The 11,794-nt window shown below is 42.9% G+C and overlaps 1 protein-coding gene across 15 annotated transcripts in view; it reads right to left on the bottom strand.

The window, feature by feature from the left end:
• The window catches only part of SV2B (synaptic vesicle glycoprotein 2B), a 202,978-nt gene continuing 192,625 nt past the window's right edge, over positions 1,442-11,794 (bottom strand). For all 15 annotated transcript variants that reach the window (NM_001323031.2, NM_014848.7, NM_001323032.3 and 12 more), the window contains one exon: positions 1,442-11,638. In NM_001323031.2, the coding sequence (NP_001309960.1) occupies positions 11,455-11,638 (184 nt within the window). In that variant the 3' untranslated portion in view covers positions 1,442-11,454. The remainder of the gene's footprint in view (positions 11,639-11,794) is intronic.

Genomic DNA, 11,794 nt, shown 5'->3' with positions numbered 1-11,794 from the left:
GATCACCTGCCTCTCGCTCCCTCTGTGGAAAGCACTGGCGAGGAGTAATCAAAGCACGGTGCACCCTGTCAAGTATCTCCAAACGAAACAGAGCTCACAGGGCACGCACTCCCTTTCTTGTGACCAACCAAGACTCACATACAGGAAACTCTATTTCTGTGTCTTGCTTTATATGCATTCCCAAGTGATATTGTTCTTACTGTAGAAATCAAAACTTGGAGAGACCCTACAGCCATTGTGTCTGCCGCTTCTGTTTTAAAGATAAGGAAAATGAGGTTAAGCAACCAGCACAGGCTCTCACAGCCTTTCCCTAGATCTCAGAAGTGAAGGATGGAGTCAAGAACTTCAGGGCTTCCAAACCGAACTTCTCCTAGTACATTTTACTGCCTTTGCATGTATCCTGTGCTGAAAACATCTGCTCCCCTGAGCTCAGCTAGGACAGTGACTATTTAATATAGTTAATGCCAGGAACTTTCACCCCACGTATGGAAGAGTTCAATCTTTGAGTAGACACCTTGTGAATACACAAACCAACACTCCCTTCTGAATTCTCATTCCTAGCACATTGTCCTTACAGATTCCCAGGGGACACCAAGAGGTTTTTGCCTATATAAAATTAACTAGCAACAGTAAATGGTGAAGTCCTAATTAAATAAGCATGGGTTAAAAGCCAGTCGTCTGCTAAGATGGTGAAGGGTGTCCCCATCCCCATGTTTAATAAATGATTGCTGAATCCACAATTCCTCTAAAGTTGATGGGAAAGTTTCCATCTTTCAGATAAGAGCATATTATCAACGGTTAAAGGATATCCCAGGCCCTCCAGCAAATGCCTTCTGGAATCATCTCCACATTCAGACCCATCGTAAACAACAGAGGGGCAATACTCATGCTTCGCAAAAGCCGTTCATTCCCCTTGGCAAAGGCGGGAGAGAGGGCTCACCAACCTTGGAGAAGCCTGGTTTACATCGTCAAGGTAGCTACTGCCCTCTAGTGTTGATATGGGAATAAAGCAAAAAAGTATACCTGGTTGAAACGAAACCGAACTCCACAAAGTTTTTCAATTACTGATGTGTCTCAGCAGCCTTGGTAGGAGCTTGGAAAACATCATCAGGTGAGGATATTGCACTGGAGCTGACCTCTTGTGGCTTCTAAAGTTTCTTTCTTTTTTTTTTTTTTTTTGAGACAGAGTCTCACTGTGTCACCCAGGCTGGAGTGCATTTTCTTGTGTCCAACCAAGACTCACATACCATCTCAGCTCACTGCAACCTCCACCTCCCAGGTTCAAGAGATGCTCCTGCCCTAGCCTCCCAAGTAGCTGGGATCACAGGCATGTGCCACCACACCCAGCTAAGTTTTGTATTTTTAGAAGAGATGGGGTTTCACGATGTTGGCCAGACTGGTCTCGAACTCCTGACCTCAAGTGATCCACCTGCCTTGGCTTCCCAAAATGCTGGGATTACAGGTGTGAACCACTGCACCTGGCCTCCAAGATTTCTATTTGGCAAATTCACATAGCTACTTTCATACTTGTTAAAATACCGAAATGCTTCCATACCAGTTAGCAAAAGGCCACCACCCTCAGCCCTCTGACAACCAGCATCACCACTCCAGAACCAGGTCCCTCCTCTGCACCCCCCAGATCTCTCCATCATCAGGTTACTAAAGTTTTAAAGCTCAGCAAAGCAGGAGCCACCAAGACCCGGACCCAGAGTTACAGCTGCAGTGTTAAGTCCGCATTTGAATCAATCTGAGAATTAACTCTTTTACATATGACACTTCACTTGCTCCTCACCATTCAACTCATGTGCTCATTCATCGGTCTATTCATCATCTATTGAGACCTACTACGTATCAAATACTGTGTTAGTCACAATGCATAGGGAAAATGAGGGTTTTATTAGGTCACAGTCTTGTGGGATCCTCTACATTAAGATGGTGTCTATAATAATTTGGTTAATATTGGCCTAGTGGCCCAGAAACATCTGCAGCAGATGACCCTGGCTTCTTTTGGAAGAGGTTTGGTGGGGTGATTATACCATACTATATGCCAGGTGATGAGCATTCAGAACTTGGCTCTGACTCTGAAAACAGGTTGAGCATTCCAAATCCAAATCCAAAAGTCAAAAATCCGAAATGCTCCCAAATTGAAAACTTTTTGAGCGCCAACGTGTACTCCAAGGAAAAGCTCACTGGAGTATTTTAGATATCAAATGTGCAGACTTGGGATGCTCAGCTGGTAGGTATAATGCCAATATCCCAAAATCTTTTAAAACCGGAAATCCAGAACACTTCTGGTCCCAAACATTTGGGATAAGGAATACTCAGTCTGTAGCTATTTGGCCTTTGACAAGTGACTTTCCTGTGTTCCAGTTTCCCCACTTCTAAAGGGAAGAAAATAACACTTACTCATTAGGTTATTATGAAGGTTAAAGGGGATAGGCTTTAAAAGTCTTTATCACAGTTCTTGTCATTCAGTAAATTTCATGTGTGTTTGTTAAATATCTGGATCACAAGGTATTAAAGATTAAACTGTATTCACCAATCACCAGATCAACTGTTACTACTATTTTAATATACCAAAGAACAAAAAAGGCATCGGTAATCAGAGCAATTCCACTATCCAGTGACAGTCAGATGGAAAAACATCTGAAGGGAGAGATAAATGAAACCACGAAAAATATGAAGAGAGACCAAAAGTGGGTTTTGTCAGTTCACATTTATAGCATCAGTTTAATAATTCAGAAGCTGCATTCACTATGCATAGAATTATTTACAGACTAATATGAGCAACTCTACATGGACATACGGTAAGCTCTATCTGGTCAGTTGCCAGTCATTGTAAACTGGCTAATGGGTCCCTTTGCCTATCACCTGCACCCTCCTTTTCATGACTCACAGCTTGTGGCCGTGTCCTCCGCTTAGCCATAGGACCACAGGACTGGTCAATGTGACATGGGACTGGGAAACGTAATGACTCTTAATTATCTCAGGTTGAAGGTGCGTTACAGAAAGATGGCAGGCTTCCAAAGAAACATCTTCCTCCACTGGCTACATGTCAGCACATTTGAACCAACAGTATTACAAATGCCTTCTATACCTATGAAATATTTTTTACAGTTCTTAGAGTGCTTCACAGGACCGCACACCTGGAGATAGCTGGATACCTGGAGAAATTGTATTAACTGACTTTGCTCTTAGGAACCACCATTCCGGGAGCGTGGTGTTGTAGCGGACATTACTACTCAACAGCTCACCTCTGAAAAGGTAGAAGAGGTATCCCATCTAGCCAAAGGATTAAGATAGTCACTTTTGTAGCAGTTGCTGTGGGAATGATTCGAGACCACTGGCCTGACTTTCAGGGAAGAACAGGAAATAGTCACCCACATCTGGGTACTCTCACCTCTCCCCAAAACCGGCACCTGTCTAGGCCACCTCCCACTGGAGAGAATGAAACCTGTTAATCCTTCAGAATTGCTCTTTGGAGCCCAAAGATTAATTTGAACTTTCCAAGTTTTGGCTACTTTGAAGTAGAAGAGGAAGAAGATTCACAAGTATGAATGACTATGGAAAGCTGAAACATTAAACTTTTAAGAGCCCTTCCCTGCACCTTAATCTCTTTCATCTACTTAACTCATTACATCAAGAACAGAGAAGTAACAACAAAAAATAGAGACACCCTTTTGGTCTGGTAGAGTTGGGGACTTCCAGGATTCAGATGGACCAAAAAGCTGAGACCAAATCTCACACACAAAAAAAAATAGTCAGATATTCCTCCTTCCTTGAAACCTGAAATTCATGGATAAGTTATTTTAATGTTTGGCCCATTTGAAATGTGGCAAAACTGCCAAATCTCTAACTACTTAGCACATATTTCAAACTTTAAAATGTCTTTCTATATTTTATCCCTTATGTAACCTGAATCAAAACTGACTAGTGCACAGCAAGTATATTAAACCAAACCTTGTGTGTATATATGCACACACTATGGATGGTTTGTTTTCTACTTTTACATGTCAAAAATATCTCCATGAACTTCCCCAAAATTTAATTTTAAGAAGTTGGGACCAGGCATAGTAGCTCACATTTGTAATCCCAGCACTTTGGGAGGCTGAGGCGGGCAGATCACTTGAGGCCAGGAGTTCGAGACGAGCCTGGCCAACATGGCGAAACCCCGTCTCTACTAAAAATACAAAAATTAGCCAGGCATGGTGGCGCATGCCTGTAATCCCAGCTACTCGGGAGGCTGAGGTGGGAGAATCGCTTGAACCTGGGAGGTGGAGATTGCAGCAAGCCAAGATTGCACCACTGCACTCCAGCCTAGATGACAGAGTGAGACTCTGTCTCAAAAAAATAAAAATAAAAATAATGAAATAAAAACTTGCGCTACCTTTCAGAAATCTTCTATTAAACCTACTGGTAAGCATCTATATATTTAAGGATACCTACCAAATATCCTCGTCCTGAGACACTTGTTATAACTCAGCAATGCACTCTACCAATGTTCTGATTGCAAATCTTTAGCTCATGATAAGGTTGATATTGCCACTGTAAAATGTGTAGCATTTAGGTTTTGGAAAATTATCCTTCTTAAAACCATTAGAATATCAATAAATAGATCATAAAATACATTTTTAAAGAAGTATTGTTTTGTCACTTTTAGTATTTTGGGTGTCTATGGGATTTGCTTTGCCGTTCTTTTGGAGGAATGTTTTAATAAAAAACAGTCATTTGTAATTTGCTCATCAATTGCTTATAGTTATGTTTGTAAGTATTTTTATGCAATTCCTTTGTGATAGAGTCCAATATCTAATTTTTCTGGAAAGCCACTTTATTTATAGTTTTAATTGACAAGTAAAACTTCTATATATTTATGGTGTATAACATAATGTGTGTGTGTATATATATGTATGTATATATACACACCCACATTTTAGAGTGACTAAATCAAGCTATTTAGCTCATGCGTTACCTCACTTACTTGTCATTTTTGCATTTTTGGTGGCGAATTGGAAAGCTATTTTTATAGGCCTTTTGTTCATACCCTATTGAAATGATCACTAATGCTGATTTAGAGAAATCTGAATTACTGAGATTATATATGGTAGGTAAGAAGTGGAGGACAGGGCCACCATTTTTAAATGGCTCATCCTCCTGAGTGACAGTAGCTGTGATTAAATAAACCTCCCTACCTAGCAAAATCATCAAATGTGGTGACCACATTAACTTTGGTAGAGGACAGCTTCTGAAAGACCTTTGCTTTCTAAAGGAATACATATTAATGGTCTCTGAAATTTTAAAGTATTTTAAGCCTGTAGGATTAAAGGTAAATGGACAGCTAAATGTGTGTTTTCAGGTGAAATGACAGTAAATCCTTGTGCTCCAGCTCATAAACTGAACCTTCCAGGGGGCATAGTATGGTCCTGCTAAATAAATCTCTTGCTCATTCTGTAATTAGCAATGACTATAACAACTTTTATTTCTCCATTTAACATTTGTGAGATAGCTTCAGTCTGTTTCATTTCATCATTCATCTTTTTGGAAATCTCGCTGCTGCCACAACAGCCATGCATATAAATTCCTCACCATGCCTCTGCAAATCAAACAAAATGTACTTTAAGCCTGCCTCACAATCAAAGGCTCTATGTGATTTATTTCCAAACGGTTCTTAGAGCTGGGCCTAAATGCGACACAGCTACATGCAAAAGCACAATGTTTTGGACAGGGTCAGAGTCCACTTAGAGAGAGAGAGACCTAGCATAGCACAAGACACACAGTAGCCATTCTGCATTCTGTAAATTTGTTTTCGAATGAGATCTATGTAGAGAAATTTGCTCCACTCTGTCTTCCTTGTCTAAAGGAGGAGGCTTTTCATCCTTTTCGGGAGACATTTCCAGGCACGTTCAGGTGGACTGTCTGCAGGTCAGGTTCACATCTAGTCATGTCTTGATCACCCCCGTGCATCCCTAGCTAGGGGGAAGCTTATAGAATCAGAGGTCCATCATAAGGCACAATGAATTACAGGATGCCACAAGCATATTTGTCTATGAAAATCTTCACCAGGTGGAAATGGCCAAAACAAAGATCACCAACCCCCAGGGGAAAGGGTTCAACCTCTGCTGAGCTTCCGAAATACTTCAAGCCCTGCAACCAGACACAGGCCCATAAGGACAGGACCTGAGTGAAACCAAGCAGTTTCTGGGGAAGGAAATATTTTCATTGACATTTTTGGGTTACTGTTGCACTACCACTAGTTGTCTCGGAGCTCTAGGAAAATGGTGATCATTTTTCACAGGCTGCTAGTTTTTGTGAGCTTCTGGTTGGGTTGGTTTTAAGTTATCAGAGCAATAGAACTTCCCTGACAAGTCAAAGTACCACCTATTGGAAGAGTGTCAGTGCTACTCAAAATATGGCTTGAGAATTGATGCCATCTATGTCACCTGGGAGTTTGTTAAAAAATGCAGATTCTTCAGACCCCACCCCAGATTCCAAATCCCCAGAATCCGAATCTCTGGGGATGGGGCCTTGAAGAGTGAGTTTTAACATCTTTCTGGGTGATTCTGATGCACGCAAAAGTTTAAGAAGCACTAATCCACCTATCCTTTCTGGCTTTTGTCCTTCGAGCCAAGACCCTCAATTTGGAGGAGGGGCAGCAATGTTCCCAGTAAATACCGCATTTCCCTGCCTCCTCTGCAGCAAAGGGAGGCTGGATCGGCTGCAAGGCACAGCCCCTTTGCCCATTGCCCTTCCTTCTGCTTCCTGCCTGAATTGTGGATGTGAGGTTCAGTGCTTCAACAGCCATCTCAGCCCATGAGGCAGCCTCAGTGATGGAAACTGCACTAAAAATCAAGGAGTCTGAAGGCAGAAGGAGCGTGCTTCCAACAATCAGGCAGAAGGAGCGTGCTCCCAACGATCAGGCAGAAGGAGCGTGCGCCCAACGATCAGGCAGAAGGAGCGTGCGCCCAACGATCAGGCAGAAGAAGCGTGCGCCCAACGATCGGGCAGAAGGAGCGTGCGCCCAACGATCGGGCAGAAGGAGCGTGCTCCCAACAATCGGGCAGAATGAGCGTGCTCCCAACGATCGGGCAGAAGGAGCATGCGCCCAACGATCGGGCAGAAGGAGCGTGCGCCCAACGATCGGGCAGAAGGAGCGTGCGCCCAAGATCGGGCAGAAGGAGCGTGAGCCCAGCGATCGGGCAGAAGGAGCGTGAGCCCAATGATTGGGCAGAAGGAGTGTGCTCCCAACGATCGGGCAGAAGGAGCGTGTGCCCATGATCGGGCAGAAGGAGCGTGTGCCCATGATCAGGCAGAAGGAGTGTGCTCCCAATGATCAGGCAGAAGGGGTGTGCTCCCAACGATCAGGCAGAAAGAGTGTGCTCCCAACGATCAGGCAGAAGGAGCGTGCTCCCAATGATCAGGCAGAAGGAGTGTGCTCCCATGATCAGGCAGAAGGAGTGTGCTCCCAACGATCAGGCAGAAGGAACGTGCGCCCATGATCAGGCAGGAGTGTGCTCCCAACGATCAGGCAGAAGGAGTGTGCTCCCAATGATCGGGCAGAAGGAGTGTGCTCCCATGATCAAAGGCAGCCACTCCAGCCCTGGCTTTCCTTCCTCCAGATTCCCTTCACATGAGAGTAAAACAAACCTTTAACTTACTATAAACTTATTATAAATTGGTTTCTTTGAATTTGCAGTCATATGCCATCCAACATAATCCCAGGTCAGTTAGCACAGATGCCCCCTAGAAAAGCCAGATGTGGAAGTGGAGACACCTTTCCCAGGGCTACGGGGATTCTTACCCCACTCACCAATGTCCCTCTTGCATTCCTGGCCCCTATCTCTTCTTCCATGTAACCCTTTCTGTAAAACTGATTAGGTAAAAATCGATTAGGTCTGTAGAAAATGGGCAAGGGCATCATTTCCCTTACCTGGTTTATAAAGATAAAAAATTGGTACACTCCTCAAAGAAAAAAAAATAAGAGGGAGCCACCACATTTGGAAATCCACAGCTGACAAGTAAAGTAGTAGCAATCCTTTTACACATGAAAGGTGCAGTTTGCGGATTGTAAGGTCATCGTACTCGGTGTTTATGGCCAATTTAATATCCGCTCACTGCAAGTGGAATGAGGCAGGAAGCAGAAACTGTGGCCAGTTTTTTCATCACTGTGTCCCCAGGGCTTGGCAGAGAGACTGGCCCATGGTCAGGGCTCAATAAGGATTTGCTGAATGAATAAATGGATGGATAAATACTAATCTTTTTATGTTTAAACTGATGCTTCCTCTCATTATAGTAAAGCCATCAAGGGAATAGTCAATGAATGGTCTCAGGGAATGGCGAGTATTTGTCACATTGTCCCATTCCCCAAACTGCAGGCTTCCCCAGAACTGTCATGAGAGCATCACCTTAGGCCTTCTCGCCCACTCCTCACATTACATGTAATCTGGGCCACATCGTTTAACCTCTCAAGGTCCCCATGTTGCAAAATAAAAGTTGAAGGAAGCGATTCTCAATGTTTCTCCCAGCTGATTCAATCAATTTTGGAATACAGAAGAGACCTTAGTGCCTGAAAATAATCTCTAACCCCAGTCCTTAAGGTTTTCTTACAGTTATTTTTATTATTTAGTTTTAATGAACTAACACAACGTAGGAGGGAACGCTGGGTTGGGGTTTACTTGTTACATGACCTCAGGATGATGTACTACAAACTTCACAGATAGGCACACCTCTTTCACTAATTATTTTTAATAAAACAAAAGATCAAAAATCAGCATCAGGAGATGACACAATACAGTTGAGACTATGGAAAGCAACTATTTCCAAGCTGGGCATCATAAAATACATCATCAAGAACTGTGAACAGATTTGCTAAACAAAGGAAAGCCTCATCCCTTTAACCCTCCACAGCCGACATCGGGAGTCTCTTGGGGTAGAACATGAAGTGAAAAAGAAGTGGATGGCCAGAATGCTGTACATTGTCCCCCAGTGACCTGCCACAGAGACTATTTTTAAAGACGCATTTATCTCAGCAGGAGTGACGGCATTTAAGAAGTAGCCCGGTACTCAGGCTAGACAATCCTGCAAAAGTCTGCAGAGCTTGGCTGCACCCTTTACAAAGACCTGAGTGATGGATGAGATGGGAATTGCCCTTGATTGGCTAGGTGGCTGGTTTAAAGAGCCATAAAGATAATGCAGAAGTGAGATCTTGGAAACCAAATGGAGTTAGCCCCCAAATTATTGCAGCCACCCCAGCACTCCAATGTTAATCCAATTTTAAATTTACAAGATCCATCTTAACTAGAAATGCAGGCTCTAACTGTCCTGCAAGTTTTTTAAGTGGTAGCTGCTCAATGAATTGTATTATCCCATTAAAGAATAATGTTTTAGATGTGGTAATCCCAGACTCACACAATTCTCTTTTATGAACCTAGCCACTGTATTCATATGGAAAGTAAATTACAGCTATATTACATCGAGCCTTTCATTATTGACAGAGCAATAAATGTTAGTACTCCTATAAAACACTGAGAGAAAGATTAATACACAGTGGTATATATATTTGGAGGAATCAGGGTGTCCAGTCAGAGTCAATATGTCTTCTCTCCCTGTACAGAAAAAAAGGGAGGGGTGTAAATAAAAAGGTGAGGGTTGACAGAAGGAGAGTAAACATTTTAACCATTAAAACTGATCTCAAATCGACGGTGGAAAGGTGTCATAAGATTTACCCCTACCAACCCGTTAATTGAGGAAAATTACAGAAAGATGTCCCGAAGCTATCATAGGACCTAAGCATTTCTCCAATACTGAGAAAACACTCGATATAGCCATTATTATTCTGTTTTAAATTTTTGGAGATCTCTGCCAGGGAAAATGTGGCACTTGCCCATTGAGAGCACTGCAAATCAACTCAAACAACTAGTTCTTGCAGGCTGATGTTCATCCGGCCTGGGCAGGTGCAAGTTCACCTCCGCTGGCAGTTGTGCGTAGCTCACTGTCCCCTCCATTGTCAGACAGTTCTGATGTTTTTCCTCTTCCATGCAGTCAAGACTTCAGTCTATTGCTGACCTTCATCAGAGAGGTTTGTCCTAAGCTCCTCCCCCAACCCACACCCCTGTTTATGTTCAAAGCTGGACTTCAGGAAACAGTTCTCTTAAGCACTGAAGAAAAACATATTTGGCATCCACTACACTCCCTAACTCCCACTCCAATGGACTCTGTTTCAAAAGCTCTGGACACATAGCATAGATTTCTCATGAGACCTGACCATCCTAACAAATATGGATTGCATTTGCATTTTACCACTAGAACAAACAAAAAGTATTTACATTTGGAAGAACTGTGGCTACACTTCCCCATCCTTCCCTCAGTCCCCATGTTGTTTGATTCTTGCCTGCAAAGAGTACCAGAGGCCACTGAACACATCTCACATTGTTTTTGGGTAGTGGCAAAGTAAAATGCCAGCACTGAAGATGGTGAGCTTGAGTTTCACAAGTCATCTGTGTAAGGGAGAGAAGTAACTACTCACTACACCTGCACAAAGAAAAGTGCCTGGATTAAGCAGACTGCACAATGTGAGTTTGTTAATTCATCCTCCCAACAGAAAGTTAAATGGCTGTAAGAAATTGTGCTTGCATTTCATTTGATCAGACCTCATTTCCTGGGACCTCAAACACCAAGTTCTCCCAAAATATGGCTAAAATGCTGGCAATATTTGCAGATACCAGTTGTGGAAATTAAACCCAAATAAAGTTATATACAAACTTAGTTTACAGAATAACTATCCCATTCCGTTTCTTTGAATAGAGCAAAACAGAAATAAATATCCTTCTTAAATGTATTACCTAATTATCATGGAAAGCCTAGGAGACATAGGAGAAAAGTAGATCTCTATAGATGTTGCTCAAATACTTGGCTTTCTAGATCAGAGTATCCTCAATGCTACTATGTCAATTTTCGAGTGGAAAATATGATAGGTGATACTTTTAAATGCAAAAATATATACTTCAAGCCCAATCTTCATATAATGACTCTAACTTCCAGCCAAGTTGATTTGTTAAGTTGTTGGGCTCCAAGGAGCTTTCTGGAGGAACCTGGGTGTTTCTGACCCTCTAATTCCTTTTCAAACGCAAGTTAAGTCCTTGCACTTGACTTAGAGAAATGCTTGCTCCTCGCATAGTGTGTGCACTCACTGGAGAATCCTCTCCCTGCCTTGGACTGGGAAGACTTGAAGTTAAACACGCAGCTCTGTGATTCTAAGGGTGGCTCAGGGCACCCCCAAATCAGTCACCTGAGTTACAAACATATTGACAGCTGAAGTGGGTCCTAAACTAGGGGTCACAAAGTCAACTTCTCCTCCCGTGCTATCCAAGGTGTCCTCCGGACCGTGATAGGCAGGAAGTGTGGATGCATTTCAGTGTCCTGGACAAGATTCTCTCGACCTTTCCTTTTCCCATAGGTTGTTCACATCAGGACCTGTTCTCGAGTCTCTGGCAGTCGAAGGGCAATCAGGCCACCCCCAACCAGAGAAGCAGCAGCCAGAAGGATGGGGACCACTTTGGTTATCCCAACAAAAGAAGCAAAGATGGTGTTTCCCAGGATGGCGCCAAATTTGCATAATCCATTGAGAATGCCGAAGGCTGTTGCTCTGTAAAAGAGGAATGGAAATAATTCTGACATTCTGAACCACATTAGATGAACAGGACTGGGCTCTTTCTTTTCCTTATTGCAGGGGGAAGAGGGTGCAAGGGAGTTTTTTTTCCTAAATATAAAAATAACACATTCTCATTGTAGTCAAATTTGG

The sequence above is a fragment of the Homo sapiens genome, chromosome 15, assembly GCF_000001405.40.
Source record: "Homo sapiens chromosome 15, GRCh38.p14 Primary Assembly".
NCBI lineage: Eukaryota > Metazoa > Chordata > Mammalia > Primates > Hominidae > Homo > Homo sapiens.
This window is presented reverse-complemented; position numbering and strand designations above follow the sequence as displayed.